This window comes from Homo sapiens, chromosome X (genome assembly GCF_000001405.40).
Source record: "Homo sapiens chromosome X, GRCh38.p14 Primary Assembly".
Lineage (NCBI taxonomy): Eukaryota > Metazoa > Chordata > Mammalia > Primates > Hominidae > Homo > Homo sapiens.
This window is the reverse complement of record NC_000023.11, coordinates 76,670,126-76,694,688: the sequence shown is the minus strand read 5'-3', so window position 1 is coordinate 76,694,688 and position 24,563 is coordinate 76,670,126. Positions and strand designations below refer to the sequence as shown.

General features: G+C 37.4%; 1 long non-coding RNA gene across 7 annotated transcripts in view; it reads left to right on the top strand.

Moving 5' to 3' along the window:
* Positions 1–24,563, top strand: part of MIR325HG (MIR325 host gene) — a 356,735-nt gene that overhangs the window by 319,844 nt on the left and 12,328 nt on the right. For 3 of the 7 annotated variants that reach the window (NR_110400.2, NR_110403.2, NR_110402.2), the window contains one exon: positions 1,602–1,722. The exons of the other annotated variants lie outside the window; for them this stretch is intronic. This is a non-coding gene — a long non-coding RNA (MIR325 host gene). The remainder of the gene's footprint in view (positions 1–1,601; positions 1,723–24,563) is intronic. 7 annotated transcript variants of the gene reach the window in all.

Genomic DNA, 24,563 nt, shown 5'->3' with positions numbered 1-24,563 from the left:
CACATGAACACTTAGAGGCCATTTTAGGGTTACTAGCTGATTTAATTTAAATATTGTTGTGTCTCAGCAAATAGAGAAGCCTGAGGAATAGAGAGAGAGATGGAGGAATGACTGGTCAGTGGAGCAGTCAGAACACACACAAAATGTATTAAGTTCGCCATCTTATATGAGCGTGGTTCATAGCACCTCAAAACAACTACAACAGTCTGGGCATGGTGACTCGCACCTGTAACCCCAGCTCTTTGGCAGGCCAAGGAGGGTGTATCATCTGAGGTCAGGATTTTGTGATCAGCCTAGCCAACATGGTGAAACCTCATCTCTACTAATAATACAAAAATTAGCCAATCATGATGGGGGTCACCTGTAATACCAGCTACTCAGGAAGCTGAGACAGGAGAATTGCTTGAGCTCAGGAGGCAGAGTTTGCAGTCAGCTGAGATCACGCAACTGCACTCCAGCCTGGGAGAGAGAACAAGACTCTGCCTGAAAAGAAAAAAAAAAAATTACAACAGTAACAGCAAAGATCACTGGTTACAGATTACCACAACAGACACAATAATAATGAAAAAGTTGGAAATATTTTGAGAATTACCAAATTGTAGCAAAGAAACAATAAGCGAATACATGGTGTTGTAAAAATGACAATGATAGACTTTCTTGGTACATGGTTGCCACAAACCTGAAAGCAATATTTGTGAATTGCAATAAAGTGAAAAGCAATAAAATGATGTATGCATGTATCTCATTATTTAAGGTGACCCTCATCATCAAAAATTCTTTGGTTCTGGAGGATAGGTTTTCTTGGCTAGGAGAAGAGTAATTTTGTTTAAAAATATGTGCAAGGTTGCCAATTCCATGGATTTGGACCATTTTAGAAAGGCACAATTTTATCACAGCCCTGGGTAAACCAATTTCAAAAATTCACAGCTAGTTTGTTTCAGAATAGATCATAATTGAGAGAAAAAATGATCAAAATTTTTGTGCTCAGGAAAAGCTCTACAGGAATTTCTTCTCTTCCTTAAATGGGTGAGTTGTGGAGACTAAATGATAAAATACCTCACAGATTGGCATTCTCCAATTAGGTGGATACTTGGGTCAACCAGTCTTTCTTTTTCCAGGGATGCATTTTGCCTGAAATTCAAGTAAGAAAGCACTCAGTTTACTTAGTTTATAGAAATATTATTTATATATTATTTAAAATAATAATGTTTTATAAGCAATCTATGTTGGTATTATTTAAAATACCAACGTTTTGTAAGCAATCCCAATTAACTGATGATTCATTTATACGGTAGATAATTCCACAGGCATTAAATGATATAATTAAAAGTTTTAAATTATAAAATCTTTTTAACAATTTTAGAAGAATATGTAAACATGCTTATGAGATATAAACAATACAAAATCAGATAATTAAATTATGTGTACAATGTGATCACAATTATATCAAAATGTACACAAAGAAAACTCACTGGAGAGATTGCTTTAGATTTTTAACAGTAGTGCTCTCTCTTGTTTATGGGATAAATGATGATGTTATTTTTGTCTTTAACATTTTCTGTTTTTCAAATTTTATATAATGATTGGTGTATATTTTACAGCTATAGAAAAGTTATTAAAAAGAAAAAATCATGAAGAAAAGAAACAGAAAGTAGATCATGGAATCTGTCTGATCTTCTTTTCCTATGTAATCAAGAAAGCCTGGACAGAGAATTATTAGTGGTAAGTTCTGGAAAATCTCCCTTAGATGCAAATCCCAGATGAAAAATACTCTTATCAAGTGAAATATACTTGTTTCAACTGTAGGTGTTTTTCAAAAACAAAAGGTGGGAGAAAGAGATGGCTCTATCAGTGGAGCAATACTGCCACCAAAAGAAAAATATTGAAAAAATCTCCATGACAAGAGAAAGAAAAAGAGAGCAAGAGAAGAGTAGAAGAGAAAATTGGGAGGTTTCATACGTAGACTACCTGATTTTCTGCTTTAGCTGACGTCACTCATCAGTGATCATAAAGGAACCAGTCTTACCCCTTAGTTGTCACTAATAAAATAGGTATGGCTGGTCCAGTCTTGAGCCATTTAAGAGGTTGGAAGGAGGCAGATCTCTGAGTGGCTGGGAGTTCTCACTAGAGAAATTAAAAGTCCGTATGTCAAAGGGATGGGATGATGGGATTTGCTAAACAAGCAGATTAGAATCAAGATCTCTTGGGGAGGTTGCAGAACACTGAGTTGTCTAATTGTATTTCCTGGAGTGCTAGGGTTTCAGCAAAAGTGGCACAGAAAACTCCTACATTTCAATAGTGTCTCTTTTTTGTGTATTGAATATGTACATGCAATTTTGTTTGAAGAATAAAGCAATACCAAAACCAGTAGCCTAGAGTGCCATCTAGTTTTTTCTGCTTGATTTTTATATGTTTACAGGGTCATAACAAATGGGAAGTTCAATTTGGTTTATGGGACTAGGACTGGAGCATTCATCTGCTTCACTTGCTCCTTTCCCCATAATTAGATTAAATCAGGAAGTCCCTAGGTTCATTCACTTTTTGGAATACACTATACATTTTGGGGTACTCTGGAAGTAAAAGATGGGTTCCAGTTATGACGTTAGCACTTCCCATAGCACCACTGGGAATTCAAAGCTCACTTCGCTATGTACTCTGATTTCTCACCTGAGGTTGTTGTGACAAGTCATAAAAGGTATAATAAAGAGGAAAGTACTGAGTATTTTAAGCAGTGGAATGACATGATAAAGATTCTATTTTTATGTAATTAAATATTTCTAAATACTACCTGCATAAATGAAACATTTAAAAATAGTAGTTCAATTCTGAAAAAATTTTAAATAATGAGGGACAGTCCTACCAAATATTGAAACATAAATCCATGGTAATTAAAATAATATAAGTACAGAAATAGTCTGACAGAACACTGGGACAGAGTGCATTAGCTCATTTTCACACTGCTATACAGATACTACCTGAGACTGGATAATTTTCAAATCAAGTAGTTTTAATTGACTCTCAGTATGGCACGGCTGTGGAGGCCTCAGGAAACTTACAATTATGGCAAAAGGCAAAGCAGAAGCATGCATCTTCTTCACAAGGTGGCAGGAGAGAGAGAGAGGGAACTAAGGGGAAGTGCCACACTTTAAAACCATCAGATCTCATGAGAACTCCCTCACTATCATGAGAACAGCATGGGGAAAACTGCCCCCGTGATCCAATTACATTCCATCAGGTCCCCCCCTTGACACATGGGGATTACAATTCAAAATGAGATTTGGATGGGGACAGAAGAGCCAAACCATATAACAGGTTTAAAACAGGTCCAAGTTTATGTAATTTAATATATAACACAGGAAATATTTTAAATTATTAGGTAAAGGATAGACTAACAATTTATTGATATTGAAACAATGAGCTGGCCACTAGAAATACATTAATTTACCAAATAGTTAAATATTTTAAATGTACAAAATGAAACTCCAGAGGTATTAAAAATAAATATTGATAAGGATTTTAAAAATCATGGTTTGGGGAAAGATTTTTTCCTAAATATGGCATAAAAGCCACAAACTGTAGTAAAAATGATTGACAGATTTGCCTATATAAATACTGTAAAACTTCTTAAAAGCCCATAATGAATAACAAGAATTATAAAATATAATAAACAAAATTAAAATGTATACAAAACACTGAAAATTGTAACATATACAACAAACAGTGGTGAATATATCTAGTATAAAATATCTATTGCTAATTAATTAAATAACAGATGAACATCCCTGTATCATTTAGCTTACATTAAATTGTACTAGAGTAAAAAAAATTGCCTAAAAATACCTGTAGTTTACAACCACAAATGTTTATTTACATCTCAGGTTACATGTCTCTATCAGATCAGCTGTGGTCCTGCTGTCTGTCATCTTCACTTTAAAACTCTAGGTGAGAAAACAGCCTCTATCTAGGACATTACTAATCTTATGGCAGAGAAAAGTTGGTGAATTATAAAAGTTTTCTTAAACCTTTCTCCTAAGTGCCATATTTCATGTCCAAATGCATTCCATTGACCATGGTAGTCACATAGCCAAGTCTGATGTCTGTGAGACAAGAATATAAGCCCATTCTAGGGAGGATCCCCATTGAGAAGAATACCAAGTATTTTAAACAATAATACAATTTATATAAACTCTATAGAAAAATATAAAAAGAACACAATTGTCAATACTTTTTTAAAAGCTGAATTTCATCACACAAATGCAAATTAAAATAATTATCACCTGTCATATTGAAGCTAAGGCAAAAAAATTTTTTTTAATTGATAACTGTTTAGTGTGAGTGAGAATGAAGGGAAATGAACATTGTTATGCACTGGTTTTAGGAGTATAAATTGTTTAAGCATTTTAGGAGAATAATTTGATAGTACCTACAAAAGTTTTAAATATTCAAAGACTATGCATCAACAATTCTACTTCGCAGAATCTCTCCTACATACTTGTCTCCTAGAATCTTGTGCAACTTACTAATAACAGATATGATGATAGTCTAATTTTCATTTCTCTCATGTTATCTGTCCCTGTCCCCTACTTTGGAATTTTTATTTTTACCAGTTCCTCCTTATTCTTGTTCTAAAATTTTGTTGAGATGCACGATGTTGCGGGGTCTTTTCCTATTTACTCCAGTCACCACTCTAAAGGCCATTTCAATTTGAACCATTTCAGCAATGAGAAACCTTATATAACCTTATATAATTTCTTGATAGTTTTCTTTGCCTTATTCTTTTCTTCTCTCCTGTCTTGAACTCCTGTAAGTTGGATGTTGTGCATCTTGAATTGTTTCTCAATATCTCATGTATTTATTGTCACAATCTTCCTCTTTGTTCTAGATTTCCTCATATTTATCTTCCAATTTTTCTTTTTCTTTTTTTTCCTTTTTCTTTTTTGATGGAGTCTCACTCTGTCACCCAGGCTGGAGTGCAGTGGCATGATCTTGGCTCACTGCAACCTCCACCTCCCAGGTTCAAGCAATTCTCCTGCCTCAGCCTCCCAAGCAGCTGGGACTACAAGCATGTGTCACCACGTCAAGCTAATTTTTGTATTTTTAGTAGAGATGGGGTTTCACCATATTGGCCAGGCTGGTCTCAAACTCCTGACCTCGTGATCCACCTGCCTCGGCCTCCCAAAGTGCTGGGATTACAGGAGAGAGCCATCATACCCAGCCCCAATTTTTCTTTAATACTAGTGTAAATCATGTTGTTTATTGATTTTTCAACCTATACACATAGCAAGGAATATTTTATTATGATTTTGGATCATTACACAACTATAAAATTAAAGACACAGCTGACAGAAGGTGATAGGAGGAAATTGGTGGAGAAAAGTGAAAGAAAATATAGGAATACTGTTAGCTTCTTTTTATTAAGCTGAGCAATCTGAATTTTCTGATATCCAACCATTTTTCAACTAAAATTAGGAGTTTCATATTGTTCAACAAAATGCATAATGGGCAGATGAGAGATACTTTTAAATACAGATGGAACAAGATGAACTAAAATAATATAATTAAAATTTTGAAGAGTGAGTGTGACTTAAATTCTCACTTTTCTTGCAAAAGAGTAAATAAGTGACATCTTAAGCTAATAAACCAAGAAATTCCAAAATAAGTAAATTACTTAGAGTTAAGGAAGTTACTACCCCAAGAATAGAAACAGACATATTTAAATGTTGAGGAATAAAGGAGAAAACAGGCATTCAGGATAGTTTATTATGAGCCCTTGTGAACAATGGAATTTTATTATTTGTGTGTGTGTGTGTGTGTGTGTTACACACACATATTACTTTGATAAAAATAAAATAAAATAAAATAAATTTCTTTATTGGAAGCCAGACACTGTCAGATTGGGCAAAACAAACAAACAAAATATAAACCCCCAAACATAGCTGTTTATAAGAAATGTACCTAAAAAAATGGCATAAATTGGAAAAAAATAAGGATGTAAAAGTATATACCAGGCGTATGTAGCAACCTGAATTTTAGACAAAATAGAATTCATGGTAAAATTATTAGACAATAGAAATGAATTAACGTGGCTTTTTTCCCTCTAAGATGACAGATTAGAGGCTTTGTTGTTGCATCTCATTTACTTGGAAATAGCAAAATTGTGTGTAGAGATTAATGCTGTGGACTTTTATCCAAGAAGAAACACAGGAGCTCAATATAAAAACAAAGGAAACTTCAGATATTTTGAAAAACATGGCAGGCAGCAGACCATGCCATGGGTCTGGCAGAAAACTGGGAGTGACTCCCCAGTGCACAAGAAGGGCAGGAAATGTCTCTCTGACACATATTTCCACTGGAGAGCCAGGCAATCCAGGCCACAGGGGAGCTCTTTGACCCTACCCAGTACTGAATCTGACTTGAGGAGCAGTGGGGAGACTGTGAGAAGGAGTGGCAGTGGGAAGTCTTTTGCACATGTTTCCAGACCCTAGCACAAATAAAGCATGATCATTCCTGATTCTTTTTTTTTTTTTTTTTTTTTTTGAGACGGAGTCTCGCTCTGTCGCCCAGGCCGGACTGCGGACTGCAGTGGCGCAATCTCGGCTCACTGCAAGCTCCGCTTCCCGGGTTCACGCCATTCTCCTGCCTCAGCCTCCCGAGTAGCTGAGACTACAGGCGCCCGCCACCGCGCCAGGCTAATTTTTTGTATTTTTAGTAGAGACGGGGTTTCACCTTGTTAGCCAGGATGGTCTCGATCTCCTGACCTCATGATCCACCCGCCTCGGCCTCCCAAAGTGCTGGGATTACAGGCGTGAGCCACCGCGCCCGGCCGATCATTCCTGATTCTAACTCACAGTGGGCTGCATGGGAACCTCCCAAACAGCACAAGCAGCAGTCATTGGTTTGGAGAGTCTCTGGACTGAGATTTGAGATTTAGTCTTGAGTTGGGGAAGAACCCCCAGAATCAGACTTCAGAGGTGAGTGTGGCATGAGATGGAGCCACAGGCACAGGAGTTGGGCAACCCCCCTTCGTAGGACTGGACTGAAAGGGGTGTGGTTTGGGAGCCATGGATTTTGTGCTGGGCAAGGAGTTTTGTGGCCTGGGGCACTTCTCTGGTCTGAAGACAGACTGCTTGTAACTTAGATAACTGTTTTAGCTTTCTGCCAGCGGCAAGGCATAATAGGGGGCTCCACCAGATTGATAGTATGGGAATGAATCAGGTTTCACTATTGCCTGCTAGGTTATGGAGCATGAGCTGCCCTTCTTTCCCTGTGTGGGCTCTTTGGCATTGCAGATGTTGCACCTGTCCTCCCTGGAACATAGCACCGGCAGCCTGAGAACTATCTTCTGACTACTGTCAGGGCTAGTGCTTGCACTTGATGTCAGGAAGCCTGAATTTGGGCTTTCTTGGCCCAGCCCCATCTCACAGCTAATCACACAGCCCATTATAGCATCTACACAGCCCATTACAACATCTGTTGACACAATTGCACAGTAATCAGAAAGGAAACAGGCATTTTGTGACCTCTGCTATCATCATTGCCCACACCACACCAGATACGCAGGAAGACTTGAGCCTACTTATCCACCTGGTAAATTACTACTACAACTAACATTTGAGAAAGCCACCACAGTAAGTTATGTACAATTGAGGAAATCATAGAGAGGCTAGGAAAGTCCCCTGCCACTCCCACCAGGGCTGTTGTCTGTGCCTGATATTAGCATACCTGTGGGCAGGCCAGCCCAACCCAGCTCTGCCCAGCTGTGACCCCTTCTGAAGCTGAGCACAAAGCCCAGGCCACTGTGTGTTCTACAGAACAGCCCATTGCTTGAGACATTAGAGAGCTTCTTTCTGGAAAAAAAAAAAAAAGTCAAGCATAAACCCTACTGCTTGCTACCACCACAGCTAGCTATTGCCTGCCAGTGCCACTTACTGCCATGGGGTCAAACTGCACAATCTAATACAAAATCTGCTAATGTAAGTGCACAGAGCTTGGAAACAAGAAGAGCTTATGCAGACCTCTGCCACCTCAGCTCTCCAGGATGCCATGAGCATGCTTACATGTCCAGTATACCACTAGTACAAACAGCACTTGAGAAATCCACCACACTAGGCAGTCTGTAACAAAGGAATTTATACAAAGTCTTTGCCACTGAGACCATTCAGAACTAAAGCCAAACAAGCCCACTCAACATATATTATAGTCACATTTCAAAGGAAAATATTAAAAAGTCCTGACCAAATGAAAGTATATTAAAAAATAAAAAGACATGACAATTTCTCCAGATGAGAAGGAATAAGAATAATAATTCTGGAAGTATAAAATAAAAGAGCTGTGTGAGGCCCCCAAAGGATCAAAATACCTCTGTAGCAGTGGATCATAACAAAAATGCAATTTTAAATACCAGAAAACGAATTCAAAATATTGATATTAAAGAAGCTCAGTGAAATGCAAGAAAAATATGAAAACAAATACAAAGTAATCAGAAAATTAATTAATTAATTTAGGATATGAATGAGAAATTTACCAAAGGGATATATATTTAGAAAAACAAAATAGAACTTTTGGAAATAAAAATGTATGTAAAGAAAATCCAGAGGAAATAGATGAATCTCTGAAAATGTACAACTTTCCAAGATTGAACTAAGAAAAAGTGGAAATTTTGAACAGACCAGTAACAAATAGTGATATTTATCCAGTAATAAAATACCTTTAAACGAAAAAAATCCCAGGCAAGACAGATGCACAGTCAAATTCTACCAGACATGCAAAGAAGAACTGATGCCAATCGTTCTGAAATCATTCCAAAAAATGGGGAAGGATGACATCCTTCCTCACTCATCTACTACAGCAGCATGATCTAGATACCAAGGCCAGATGAGCACACAATAAAAAGAGGAAAACTACAGATCAATATTTATGATGAACATAGATGCAAAAATTCCCTACAAAATACTAGCAAGCAAAATTCAATAGCACATCAAAAAGATAATACATCATGATCAAGTGGATTTTATTCAAGGAATGCAAGGATGGTTTAACATATGCAAATAAATAAGTGTGATTTACCACATAAACAAAATTAATAACAAGTAAGGCTAAGGTCATGTCAATAGGTATAGACAAATAATTTTATTCAGCCTTTCTTTATCATAAAAACCCTCAACAAACTAGGCATAGAAGGAACATACCTCAAAAAAAAAAAGCCATGTATAAAAAACCTGGAGACAATATCATATTGAATGGGGAAAAGTTGAAATCATACCTCTTAAGAACTGAAAAAAAACCCAAGAATGCCAAATTTCCCCACTCCTATTCAACATAGTATTGGAAGCCTTAGACAAAGCAATCAGGCAAAAGACAGAAATAAAATGTATCCAAATTGAAAAGAAGGAAGTAAAATTATTCCTGTTTAACAATGATATAATTGTATACCTAGAATACCCTAAAGACCTCACTAAAAGACTCCTAGATTTGACCACTGAATTCAGTAAAGTTTCAGGAATCAAAATCTGTGTTCAAAAATCAGCAGCATTTCTATGCAACAATAATGATCAATACAAGAACCAAATTAATAGGTTAATACCATCTACAATGGCTACAAAAAATAAGATACCTAGGAATATATTTAACAAAACAAGTAAAAGATCTCTGCCAGAAACTATAAGACACTGATTAAAGAAATTGCAGAAGATACAAACAAATGTAATACATTCCATGTTCATGGATTGGAGAAAAAAATCACTAAGATTACCATACTGCTCAAAGCAATTTACAGATTCAATAAAATTCCTATCAGAATACCAACATCATTTTTAACATGATTTGAAAAATGATCCTAAAATTCACATGGAACAACAACAACAAAAAGCCTGAATAGCCAAAACAATCTTAAGCAAAAAGAACAAAGCTGGAAGCATCACATTACCTGACATCAAATTATACTACAACACTATAGTAATGAAAACACCATGATACTCGTATAAAAATAAAGATATAGATTTAAAAAACAGGATAGATAATGAAGAAATAAAGTGACATACCTACAACCAACTGATGTTTCACAAATTCAACAAAAACATGCACTGGGAACACCCTCTTCAATAATTGGTGCTGGGAAAATTGGATTGCCATGTGCAGAAGAATAAAACTGGACCACTATTCCTCACCATATACAAAAATTAACTCAAGATTGATTAAAGACTTAAATATAAGACTTGAAACTATAATAATACTCAAAAATAATCTGGTAAAAGTTCTTCCGGACATGGGCTCTGACAAAAAATTCATGACTAAGATCTCAAAAGCAAATGCAACAAAAAATAGAAAAATGAGACAATGAAACTAAAAAGCTTTTGCATAGCAAGAGAAATAATCAACAATATGAAGAGATAATCTGCAGGATGGGAGAAAATATCTTTAAACTATGCATCTGATGAAGAGCCAGCATCCGGAATCTATGAGGAACTCAAGCAAATCAACAACAACAAAAAGCCCCACTAAAAAGTAGGTAAAAGACACTAATAGACATTTTGAAAAAGACATGTAAATGGCCAAGAAGCATATGAAAAAATGCTCCACGTTACTAATTTTCAGGGAAATGCAAATTAAAACCACAATGAGGTACCATCTTATACTAGTCATAATGGCTATTATTAAAAAGTCAATATATAACAGATGTTGGCAAGGATATGGAGAAAAGGAGACCCTTTTACACTGTTAGTGTGAATTTATATTAGTACAGTCTCTTTGGAAAACAGAAAAGATATTTCTCAAACAACTAAAAACACAACTATCATTTGATCCACTAATCCCACTACTCGGTATTTACCCAAAGAAAAAGAAATTAAAAAGATAGCTAGATTCATGTGTTTACCACAACGCTATATAAAATATCAAGGACATGGAAAAAAACTTAAGTGTCCGTCAACAAAATATTGGATAAAAAATATTATATATATATCATATATATCCTATATGTATAGATCGCATATATGATCATATAGATCATATAGATCACATATATGATCATATAGATCACATATATGATCATATAGATCATATAGATCACATATATGATCATATAGATCACATATATGATCATATAGATCACATATATGATCATATAGATCACATAGATCATATATATGATCATATATATATATGGCATGGAACCCTACTCAACCATAAAAAATAATGAAATAATCTACTTTGCAGTAACATGAGTAGTACTGGGGACCATTACCTTAAGTAAAATAACTCAGAAACAGAAAGTCAACTACCACATGTTCTTAAGTGTAAGTGGAAGCTAAATAATTTGTACACATGGACATAGAGAGTGGAATAATAGTCATTGGAAACTTGAAAAGATGGAAAAATGGGTGTGGGTGAGAAATGATAAATTGCTTAATGGGTACAATATACACAATTTGGGTGATGACTACACCAAAAGCCCAGACTTCACCACTATGCCATATATCCATGTAAAAAAAAAACTGTAGTTGTATCTAAATCTATTTTAAAACCAAATAGATATGCATTATATTGTCCAGGAGGAAGATATGGTAATAGTTACCATCCTCTATCCACCCAACATGATTTCAAAATATAAAAAACAAAACTGCAAGAAATGTTAGGTGGAACCAGCAAATTTACAATCATAGTGGAGTATTTATTTATTTTTTAAATTACACTTTAAATTCTGGGATACATGTGCAGAACGGGCAGCCTTGCTACATAGGTACACACATGCTATGGTGGTTTGCTGCACCCATCAACCCATCATCTGCATTAGATATTTCTCCTAATGCTATCCCTCCCCTAGATCACCACCCCTACACAGGCCGTGGTGTGTGATGTTCCTCTCCTTCTGTCTATGTTTTCTCATTGTTCAACTTCCACTTATGAGTGAGAATATGTGGTATCTGGTTTTCTGTTACTGTGTTAGTTTGCTGAGAATGATGGTTTCCAGCTTCATCCATGTCCCTGCAAAGGGCATGAACTCATCCTTTTTTATGGCTGCATAGCATTCCATGGCATATATGTGCCACATCTTCTTAATCCAGTCTATCATTGATGGGCATTTGGGTTGGTTCCAAGTCTTTGCTGTTGTGAATTTTGCTGTAATAAACATACATGTGCATGTGTCTTTATAGTAGAATGATTTATAATCCTTTGGGTATACACCCAATATTGGGATTGCTGGGTCAAATGGTATTTCTGGGTATAGATCCTTGAGGAATTGTTACACTGTCTTCCACAATGGTTGAACTAATTTACACTCCCACCAACAGTGTAAAAGCGTTTCTATTTCTCCATAGTGGAGTCTTTAATACATCTCTTTTCGAAATAGACATCTCAAAAGCACACAAAAAGTAAAACTATAGGGTATTTGAATACCAACAAACTGGTTTGAGAAGGTAAAGTGTATAAAACATTATATCTAACAGAGAATTAGCCATAAAGAATACATCTTTAATTTTCCTGCTTTCAAGAAAACAAAACAAAACAAAACAAAAGGTTTTCTTGGTCTCAGAGAAAACAAAAGAGCTGCCAGGGTCATGCAAGCAGTTAATGTACAAATTCCGATTCCTGGTATAGGTGGCTTCATATGCCCGTCCCTGTTTCCACTCATAGAACAAAGTTGCTGTAGAATTTTCAACTGAAGAGAAAGTGGAAAAAAGGAGAGTGTGAGCTTATACAGCACACTACCTTTCTCTCTTTTCTACTTTGGTTTGGAGGATTATTATGTGCAATTAAGTGTGAAGTAGGAAAAATGATACACATAGGGGTATATGTGGGCAAGGCAAGGACTTATACTTCCCAAGCAAAAGATATATGGCTTAAAACACATTCAAAATACCACTGATTATAGTAACCCCAAAATTTGTTTTAACATGTTTGTTGTCACTATCATTTCTCAGATCACATCCTCATAGCTGTCAGGGATTAGACACTGTAGATAGTTCTAGTTAAGGTGAGCAAAGGGAGTTCTTGTTTAGGAAGCCCATCTTGGTATACAGAGCAAAACAACACAAGTAGAGATGGGCAAGAACTCACTATCTCCATTCCAAGGAACTACCCCAAATCAAAATCCGTGTTTTTATGCCTCCTTCTTTCCAACTGTTGTCCTATGTTTTGGAGTCTAGAGTGACTACTCTTACAATGAAAGCATGTTCTTCAAATTAGAACTTCATCACTGTTTTCAACAAATATTTGATATGCAATTGTTCAGATTCACAAAAAATACATTCACAACGTCACAGGAAATTTGAATTTAATTTTCGTTAGCAAAATAAAAATGGGTTGGTAGTTTATGTGAGTATAATTTTACTAATATGCCTTTGAATGGTGGTAAAAATGTTTTTATATTGTTGAATTTGTTTATTTTTTATATCCAGTATAACAAGCTTTGACTTTTTATTCACTTATTTTGTAGGTTTTATTTTACATTCAGGGGTAAATGTGCAGGTTTGTTATATAGGTAAATTGTATGTCATGGGAGGTTGGTGTACGTATTATTTTGCCACACAGGTAATAAGGATAATACCCAATAGGTAGATTTTTTTTTATCTTCACCTTCCTCCCTTCTTCCACGTACAAGTAGGTCCAGTTTCTGTTGTTTCCTTTTTTGTGTCCACAGTCATCAATATTTATCTACCACTAAAAAGCGAGAACATGTGATTTTCTCTTCCTCTATGTTCGATTAGGATAAAGACATCCAACTCCAACAATGTTGCTGCAAAGGACATGATCTCATTCTTTATTATGACTGTGTAGTATTCCATGTTGAATATGTACCACATTTTTAAGTCCAGTTGGTTTTGAGCATTTAGGTTGATTCCATGACTTCAATATTGTGGATAGTGCTGCAATAAACATACGTGTACATGTGTCTTTATGATAAAATGGTTTCTATTCATTTGGATATATACCCTGTAATGGGACTGCTAGGTCAAATGGTAATTCTGACGTGATTTCTTTGAGAAATTGCTAGCATTAGACTTCTGGTAGAATTTGGCTGTGAATCCATTTGGTTGGTCCTGTGCTTTTCCTTGTTGGTAGGCTTTTTATTACTGATACAATTTTGAAACTCATTACTGGTCTGTTCAAGAATACACTTCTCCTGATTCAATCTTGGAAGGTTGTAAGTGTCCAGAAATGTATCTATTTCTTCTAGATATTCTAGCTTTTGTGCATAGAAGTGTCTGTAGTAGTCCCTGAGGGTTTTTTTTGTTGTTGTTGTCGTATTTTCGTGGGGTCAGTTGTAATGTCCCTTTGTCATTTCTAACTGTATTTATTTGGATCTTTTCTCTCTTTTTTCTCTATTCATCTAGCTGGTGGTCTGTCATCAATTTTTTCAAAGGTCCAACTCCTGGATTTTTAAAAATCTTTTTTATTTATTTATTTTTTGCATCTTAATTCTCTTCAGTTCAGCTTCAATTTTGTTTCTTTCCCATCTTCTGCTAGTTTTGTGGTTGGTTTGCCATTGTTACTCTAGGTCCTCTATTTATGATGTTAGGTTGTTAACTGAGATCTTTCTAGCTTTTTCATGTGTGCATTTACAGCTATAAACTTCTCTCTTAATACTGTTTTAGCTGTATACTAGAGATTCTAATATTTTGTATACTTGTTCTCACTAGTTTCAAAGAACTTCAGGATTTTATTGTTTACCCAAAAGTCATGCAGAAGCAAGTTGCTTAATTTAAATGTAATTTTGTTTTTAAGTGATTCATTTTTTATTATTTCATATTTTTATTACACTGTGGTCTGTGACCATGGCTGGATTATTTATTTTTTTTAATTTCCAGAGGATTGTTTTATGTCCAATTGTGTGGTTGATTTTAGAGTATGTGCCATGTGCAGATGAGATGACTGTATATTCCTTATTTTGGGATGGAGAGTTCTGTAGATGTCTATTATGTAAATTTAGTCAAGTGTCCAGTTAAGGTCTTGAATATCTTCTTTAGTTATCTGCCTTGATGATCTAATACTGTCAGTAAGCTGTTGAAAGGTGTTGAAGTCTTCATCTATTATTGTGTAGTTATCTAAGTCTCTTCACAGGTGTCTAAAAATTTGCTTTATGAGTCTGGATGCTCTTGTTTAGGTACATGTATATTTAGGATAGTTAGATCTTCTTGTTGAAATTAGTCTTTTATTCTTTCTTTATTATTATTACTTTTTATTATACTTTAAGTTCTGGGATACATGTGCAGATCATGCAGGTTTCTTACATATGTATACATGTGCCATGGTGGTTTGCTGCACCCATCAACCTGTCATCTATATTATGTATTTCTCCTAATGCTATCCCTCCCCTAGACCACCACCCCCCAACAGACCACTGTGTGTGATGTTCTCCTCTCTGTGCCCATGTGTACTCATTGTTCAACTCCCACTTATAAGTGAGAACATGCAGTGTTTTGTTTGCTGTTCTTGTGTTAGTTTGCTTAGAATGATGGTTGCCAGCTTCATTCATATCCCTGCAAAGGACATGAACTCATGCTTTTTGATGGCTGCGTAGTATTCCATGGTGTATATGAGCCACATTTTCTTTATCTAGTCTATCATTGAAAGGCATTTTGGTTGATTCCAAGTCTTTGCTATTGTAAATAGTGCTGCAGTAAACATACATGTGCATGTGTCTTTATAGTAGAATGATTTATAATCCTTTAGGTATATACCCAGTAATGGGATTCCTGGGTCAAATGGTATTTCTGGATCTAGAAAATTGAATAATTGCCACACTGTCTTCCACAGTGGTTGAACTAATTTACATTTCCACCAACAGTGTAAAAGCTTTCCTAGTTCTCCACATCCTCTCCAGCATCTGAAGTTTTCCAACTTTTTAAAGATCACCATTGTAACTGGCATGAGATGGTATCTAATTGTGGTTATGTTTTGCATTTCTCTAATGAACAGTATGATGAGCTTCTTTTTACATGTTTTTTGGCCAGATAAATATCTTCTTTTGAGAAGTGTCTGTTCATATTATTTGCCCACTTTTGGATGGGGTTGTTTTATCTTGTAAATTTGTTTAAGTTTCTTGTAGATTCTGGATATTATCCCTTTGTCTGATGGATAGATTGCAAAATTATACTCTGATTCTGTATGTTGCCTGTTCAATCTCATGATAGTTTCTTTTTCTGTGCAGAAGCTCTTCAGTTTAATTAGATCCCCTTGTCAATTTTAGCTTTTGTTGCCATTGCTTTTTCTGTTTTAGTCATGAAGTCTTTTCCCGTGCCTATGTCCTGAAAGGTATTGCCTAGGTTTTCTTCTAGGGTTTTTATGGTTTTAGGTCTTATGTTTAAATCTTTAATAAATTTTGAGTTAATTTTTGTATAAGGTTTAAACAATGGGTCCAGTTTTAGTTTTCTTCCTATGGCTAGCCAGTTTTTCCAACACTGTTTATTAAATAGGGAATCATTTCCCCATTGTTTGTTTTTGTCAGGTTTGTCAAAGATCAGGTAGTTGTAGATGTGTGACGTTATTTCTGAGGCCTCTGTTTTGTTCCATTGGTCTATACACCTGTTTTGGTACTAGTACCATGCTGTTTTGGTTACTGTAGCCTTGTAGTATCGACTGAAGTCAGGTAGCATGATGCCTCCAGCTTTGTACCTTTTGCTTAGGATTGCCTTGGCTATATGGGCTCTTTTTTTGTTCCACATGAAATTTATTTATTTATTTTTATTTATTTTATTTTTTATTATAATTTAAGTTTTAGGGTACATGTGCACAATGCAAAAGATAGTTACATATGTATACATGTGCCATGTTGGTGTGCTGCACCCAGTAACTCATCATTTAACATTAGGTATATCTCCAAACGCTATCCCCCCCTCCCCACCCCACAACAGGCCCTAGTGTGTGATGTGCCCCTTCCTGTGTCCATGGGTTCTCTTGTTCAATTCCCGCCTGTGAGTGAGAACATGCAGTGTTTGATTTTTTCTCCTTGCAATAGTTTGCTGAGAATGATGGTTTCCAACTTCACCCATGTCCCTAAAAAGGACATTAACTCATCATTTTTTATGGCTGCATAGTATTCCATGGTGTATATGTGCCACATTTTCTTAATCCAGTCTATCATTGTTGCACACTTGGGTTGGTTCCAAGTCTTTCCTATTGTGAATAGTGTTGAAATAAACATACGGGTGCATGTGTCTTTACAGCAACATGTTTTACAATCCTTTGGGTATATACCCAGTAATCAGATGGCTGGGTCAAATGGTATTTCTAGTTCTAGATCCCTGAGGAATCACCACACTGACTTCCACAATGGTTGAACTAGTTTACAGTCCCACCAACAGTGTAAAAGTGTTCCTATTTCTCCATATCCTCTCCAGCAACTGTTGTTTCCTGACTTTTTAATCATCGCCATTCTAACTGGTGTGAGATGGTATCTCATTGAGGTTTTGATTTGCATTTGTCTGATGGCCAGTGATGATTAGCATTTTTTCATGTTTTTTTGGCTGCATAAATGTCTTCTTTTGAGAAGTGTCTGTTCATATCCTTTGCCCACTTTTTGGTGGGGTTGTTTGTTTTGTTCTTATAAATTTGTTTGAGTTCATTGTAGATTCTGGATATTAGCCCTTTGTCAGATGAGTAGGTTGCAAAAACTTTCTCCCATTCTATAGGTTGCCTGTTCACTCTGAGGGTAGTTTCTTTTGCTGTGCAGAAGCTCTTTAGTTTAATTAGATCCCATTTGACAATTTTGGCTTTTGTTGCCATAGCTTTTGGTGTTTTAGACATGAAATCCTTGCCCATGCCAAGGTCCTGAATGGTATTGCCTAGGTTTTCTTCTAGGGTTTTTATGGTTTTAGGTCTAACATTTAAGTCTTTAATCCATCTTGAATTAATTTTTGTATAAGGTGTAAAGAAGGCATCCAGTTTCAGCTTTCTACATATGGGTGGTGAGTTTTCTCAGCACCATTTATTAAATAGGGAATCCTTTCCCCATTGCTTGTTTTTGTCAAATTTGTCAAAGATCAGATGGTTGTAGACATGCGGCATTATTTCTGAGGGCACTGTTCTGTTCCATTGGTCTGTATCTTAGTTTTGGAACCAGTACCATGCTGTTTTGGTTACTGTAGCCTTGTAGTATAGTTTGAAGTCAGGTAGTGTGATGCCTCCAGCTTTGTTCTTTTGGCTTAGGATTGACTTGGCAATGCAGGCTCTTTTTTGGTTCCATATGAACTTTTAAGTAGTTTTTCCAATTCTGTGAAGAAAGTCATTGGTAGCTTGATGGGGATGGCATTGAATCTATAAATTACCTTGGGCAGTATGGCCATTTTCATGATATTGATTCTTCCTACCCATGAGCATGGAATGTTCTTCCATTTGTTTGTATCCTCTTTTATTTCATTGAGCAGTGGTTCGTGGTTCTCCTTGAAGAGGTCCTTCACAGCCCTTGTAAGTTGGATTCCTAGGTATTTTATTCCCTTTGAAGCAATTGTGAATGGGAGTTCACTCATGATTTGGCTCTCTGTTTGTCTGTTATTGGTGTATAAGAATGCTTGTGATTTTTGTACATCGATTTTTTGTCCTGAGACTTTGCTGAAGTTGCCTATCAGCTTCAGGAGATTTTGGGCTGAGACAATGGGGTTTTCTAGATATACAATCATATCTTCTGGAAACAGGGACAATTGGACTTCCTCTTTTCCTAATTGAATACAATTTATTTCCTTCTGCTGCCTGATGGCCCTGGCCAGAACTTCCAACTTTATATTGAATAGGAGTGGTGAGAGAGGGCTTCCCTGTCTTGTGCCAGTTTTCAAAGGGAATGCTTCCAGTTTTTGCCCATTCAGTATGATATTATCTGTGGGTTTGTCATAGATAGCTCTTATTATTTTGAGATACATCCCATCAATTCCTAATTTATTGAGAGTTTTTAGTATGAAGTTCTGTTGAATCTTGTCAAAGGCCTTTTCTGCATGTATTGAGATAATCATGTGGTTTTTGTCTTTCGTTCTGTTTATATGCTGGATTACGTTTATTGATTTACATATGTTGAACCAGCCTTGCATCCCAGGGATGAAGCCCACTTGATCATGGTGGTTAAGCTTTTTGATATGCTTCTTTGCCATGGTTTCGAACTTCCTCCTTTAGCTCAGAGTAGTTTGATCGTCTGAAGCCTTCTTCTCTCAACTCGTCAAAGTCATTCTCTGTCCAGCTTTGTTCCATTGCTGGTGAGGAGCTGCGTTCCTTTGGAGGAGGAGATGCACTCTGATTTTTAGAGTTTCCGGTTTTTCTGCTCTGTTTTTTCCCATCTTTGTGGTTTATCTACCTTTGGTCTTTGATGATGGTGATGTTCAGGTGGGGTTTTGGTGTGGATGTCCTTTCTGTTTGTTAGTTTTCCTTCTAACATTTAGGACCCACAGCTGCAGCTCTGCTGGAGTTTGCCGGAGGTCCACTCCAGACCCTGTTTACCTGGGTATCAGCAGCAGAGGCTGCAGAACAGCGGATATTGTTGAACAGCAAATGTTGCTGCCTGATCGTTCCTCTGGAAGTTTTGTCTCAGTGGAGTACCCGGCTATGTGAGGTGTCAGTCGGCCCCTGCTTGGGGTGTCTCCCAGTTACGGTACTCAGAAGTCAGGGAACCACTTGAGGAGGCAATCTGTCCGTTCTCAGATCTCCAGCTGCATGCTGGGAGAACCACTATTCTCTTCAAATCTGTCAGACAGGGACATTTAAGTCTGCAGAGGTTTCTGCTGCCTTTTGTTTGGCAATGCCCTGCCCCCAGAGGTGGAGTCTACAGAGGCAGGCATGCCTCCTTGAGTTGCAGTGGGCTCCACCAAGTTCAAGCCTCCTGGCCACTTTGTTTACCTACTGAAGCCTTGGCAATGGCGGGCACCCCTCCCCCAGTCTGGCTGCCGCCTTGCAGTTTGATCTCAGGCTGCTGTGCTAGCAATGAGCGAGGTTCCATGGGTGTAGGACCCTCTGAGGATATAATCTCCTGGAGTGCCATTTGCTAAGACCATTGGAAAAGTGCAGTATTAGGGTGGGAGTGACCCGATGTTCCAGGTGCCATCTGTCACTGCTTTCTTCGACTAGGAAAGGGAATTCCCTGATCCCTTGTGCTTTCTGGGTGAGGCAATGCCTCGCCCTGCTTTGGCTCACACTTGGTGCACTGCACCCACTGTCCTGCACCCACTTTCCAACACTGCCCAGTGAGATGAACCTGGTACCTCAGTTGGAAATGCAGAAATCACCTGTCTTCTGTCGCTCACGCTGGGAGCTGTAGACTGGAGCTTTTCCTATTTGGCCATCTTGGCTCCACCCACCTCCATATGAAATTTAAAATATTTTTTTTTTCTAATTCTGTGAAGAAGGTCAGTGGTAACTTGATGGGGATAGCACTGAATCTATAAATTACTTTGGACATTATGGCCATTTTCACGATATTGATTCTATCCATGAGCATGGAATATTCTTCCATTTTTTTGTGTCCTCTCTTGTTTCCTTGAGGAGTGGTTTGTAGTTCTCCTTGAAGAGGTCATTCACATACCTTGTAAGTTGAATACCTAGGTATTTTATTCTCTTTGTAGCAATTGTGAATGGGAGTTGACTCATGATTAGGCCCTTTGTTTGTCTATTATTGGTGTATAGGAATGCTTGTGATTTTTGCACATTGATTTTGTATCCTGAGATTGCTGAAGTTGCTTATCAGCTTAAGGAGATTTTGGGCTGAGACGCTGGGGTTTTCTAAATATACAATCATGTCATTTGCAAACAGAGACAATTTGACTTCCTCTCTTCCTATGTGAATACTCTTTATTTCTTTGTCTGTCCTGATTGCCTTGAACAGAATTTCCAATATTATGTTCAACAGGAGTGATGAGAGAAGGCATGCTTGTCTTGTGCCTGTTTTCAAAGAAAATGATTCCAGCTTTTGCCCATTCAGTACGATATTGGCTGTGGGTTTGTCATAAGTACTTTTATTATTTTAAGGTATGTTCCATCAATACCTAGTTTATTTTTTTGTGATACGTTCCATCAATACTTCCAGGTTTGCCCATTCAGTATGATATTGGCTGTAGGTTTGTTGTAAATAGTTCTTATTATTTTGAGATACATTCCATCAATACCTTGTTTATTGAGAGTTTTCATTGTGAAGGAATGTTGAATTTTATTGAAGGTCTTTTCTGCATCTATTGAGAAAATCATGTGGATTTTGTCATTGATTCTGTTTATGTGATGGTTTATGTCTATTGATTTACGTATGTTGAAACAGCTTTGCAGCCCAAGGATGAAGCCAACTTGATCATGGTGGATAAGCTTTTTGATGTGCTGCTGAATTCAGTTTGCCAGTATTTTTTTGAGAATTTTCGCATCGTTGTTCATCAGGAATATTGGCTTGAAATTTTTTTGTGTGCTTCTCTTCCAGGTTTTAGTATCAGGATGATGTTGGTCTCATCAAATGATTTAGGGAGGAGTCCCTCTTTTTCTATTTTTTGGAATAGTTTCAGAAAAAATGGTACCAGCTCCTCTTTTTACCTCTGGTAGAATTCGGCTGTGAATCCATCTGGTCCTGGGTGTTTTTTGGTTCATAGGCTATTAATTATTGCCTCAATTTCCAAACTTGTTATTGGTCTATTCAGGGATTTGCCTTCTTTCTGGTTTAGTCTTTGGAGGGTGGATGTGTCCAGGAATTCATCCGTTTCTTCTAGATTGTCTAGTTTATTTGCATAATGGTGTTTATAGTGTTCTCTGATGGTGGTTTGTATTTCTGTAGGATCAGTGGTGATTGCTCCTTTTTCAATTTTTATTGTGTCTATTTGATTCTTCTCTCTTTTCTTCTTTATTAGTCTGGCTAGTGTTCTATATATTTTGTTAATCTTTTCAAAATCCAGCTCCTGGATTCATTGATTTTTGAAGGGTTTTTCATGTCTCTGTGTTCTTCAGTTCTGCAATGATCTTATTTTTTGCCTTCTGCTAGCTTTTGTATTTGTTTTCTCTTGTTTCTCTAGTTCTTTTCATTGTGTTATTAGGGTGTTGATTTTAGATCTTTCCCACTTTCTCCTGTGGGCTTTTAGTGCCATAAATTTTTCACTGCTTTAGCTGTGTCCCAGAGATTCTAGTACACTGTGTGTTTGTTCTCATTGGTTTCAAAGAACTTATTTATTTATGCCTTAATTTCATTATTTACCCAGTAGTCATTCAGGAGTAGGTTGTTTGGTTTCCATGTAGATGTGTAGTTTTGAGAGTTTCTTAATTCTGAGTTCCAATTTGATTGCACTGTGTCTGAGAGACTGTTAAAATTTCTGTTCTTTTGCATTTGCTGCAGTGTGTTTTACTTTCAATTATGCTTCATGAATTTCTCATGCTGTGATTTTCAGCTTTATCAGGACATTTATGTTCTTCTCTGAACTGGTTATTCTAGTTAGCAATTTCCTCTAATCTTTTTTCAAGTTCCTTTGCTTTCTTGCATTGGGTTAGTACATGCTCCTTTAGCTCAGAGGAGTTGGTTATTACCCACCTCTGAAGCCTACTTCTGTCAATTTGTCAAACTCATTTTCCATCCAGTTTTGTTCCCTTGCTGGTGAAGAGTTGTGATCCTTTGGTGAAGAGGCATTCTGGCTTTTGGAATGTTCAGCCTTTTTGAGCTGGTTTTTTCATGTCCTCTTGGATTTATCTACCTTTGGTCTTTGATGTTGGAGAACTTCGGAAGTGATTTATGTGTGGATTCCCTTTTTGTTGATGTTGATGCTATTGTTTTCTGTTTGTTAGTTTTCCTTTTAACAGTTAGGACCCTCTGCTGCTGGTGTGCTGCAGTTTGCTGTAGGCCCACTCCAGACCCTGTTTTCCTGGGTATCACCAGAGGAGGCTGTAGAACAGCAAAGATTGCAGCCTCTCCCTTCCTCTGGATGCTTAATCCCAGAGGGGCACCTGCCAGATGCCAGCTGGTGCTCTTCTGTTCGAGGTGTCTGTTGATCCCTGCTTGGAGATGACTCCCAGTGAGGAGGCATGGGGGTCAGGGACCAACATGAGAAGATAGTCTGTCCCTTAGCAGAGCTTGAAGGCTGTACTGGGAGATCCACTGCTCTCTTCAGAACGTTTAAGTCTACTGAAAGTTTAAGTCTACTGAAGCTGTGCCCACAGCCACCTCTTCCTGCAGGTGCTGTGTCCCAGGGAGGTGGGAGTTTTATCTATAAGCCCCTGACTGGGGCTGCTGCCTTTCTTTTGGAGATGCCCTGCCCAGAGAGGAGGAATCTGGAGAGGTAGTGTGGCTATAGTGGCTTTGCAGAGCTGTGGTGGGCTCCGCCCTGTTCGATCTTCCAGGTGGCTTTGTTTATATTGTGAGGGAAAAACGGCCTACTCAAACCTCAGTAATGGCAGATGCCCCTCCCCCCACCAAGCTCAAGCATCCCAGGTCAACTTCAGACTGCTGTGCTAGCAGCAAGGATTTCAAGCCAGTGGATCTTAGCTTGAAGGGCTCCATGGGCATGGGATCCGCTGAGCTAGACCCCTTGGCTCCCTGGCTTCAGCTCCCTTTCCAGGAGAGTGAATGGTTTTGTATTGCTGGTGTTCCTGGTGCCACTGGGTTATATAAAAAATAATCTCCTTCAGCTAGCTAGGTTTCTGCCCAAACAGCCACCCAGTTTGTGCTTGAAACCCAGGGCCCTCGTTGAGTAGGTACCCAAGGGAATCTCCTGGTCTGTGGCTTGAGAAGCCCATGGAAAAACCATAGTATCTGGGCCAGAATGCACCATTTTTCAGGGTACAATCCCTGACGGCTTCCCTTGTCTAGGGGAAAGAGTTTTCTGATCCCTTCCTCTTCCCAGGTGAGTTGATGCCCCACTCTGCTTCTGCTCACCCTCCATGGGCTGCACCCACTGTCTAACTAGTCCCAATGAGATGACCCATGTACCTCAGTAGGAAATGCAGAAATCATCTGCCTTCTGTGTTGATCTCACTGAGAGCTTCAGACCAGAGCTGTTCCTAGTTAGCCATCTTGTCTGGTAATCAAGTCCTTTACTTTTATGTAATGTGTTTTTTTGATCTTCATCATTTTAAAGTCTGTTTTTTTTTTTTTAAATAAGAATGATAACACCTGCTTTTTTCTGTTTTCCACTTGCTTGGAAGTTTTTTCTCCATCCCCTTACTTGGTGTCATTGCATGTGAGATAGATCTCTTGAAAACAACATACCATTGGGTCTTGCTTCTTTTTCTAACTTGCCACTCTGTTTCTTTTAATTGGATCATTTAACCTGTTTACACTTAAGGATAGTATTGATATGTGCAGATTTGTTCTTGTCATCATATTAGCTGGTGATTCTGCTGTTAATACTTGTGTTTGTATTTTGAAGTTCTTAAAGTGAATTTTTCAACTCCATCAGATCAGATTGGTTCTTTTTAAAAATGGCCCTTTTGTTTTTCATTTTCTGTATCATTTTATTGTATTACTTAGAATCCTTGAGTTGGGTTTCTACTTTCTCTTGAGTCTTGGTGACGTTAATTCCTTTACATATTCTAAATTCTACTTCTGTCATTTCATCTATTTCAGCCAGGTTAAGAAACATTGCTGGGGAATTTGTGTGATCATTTGGTGGTAAGAAAACACTCTGGCT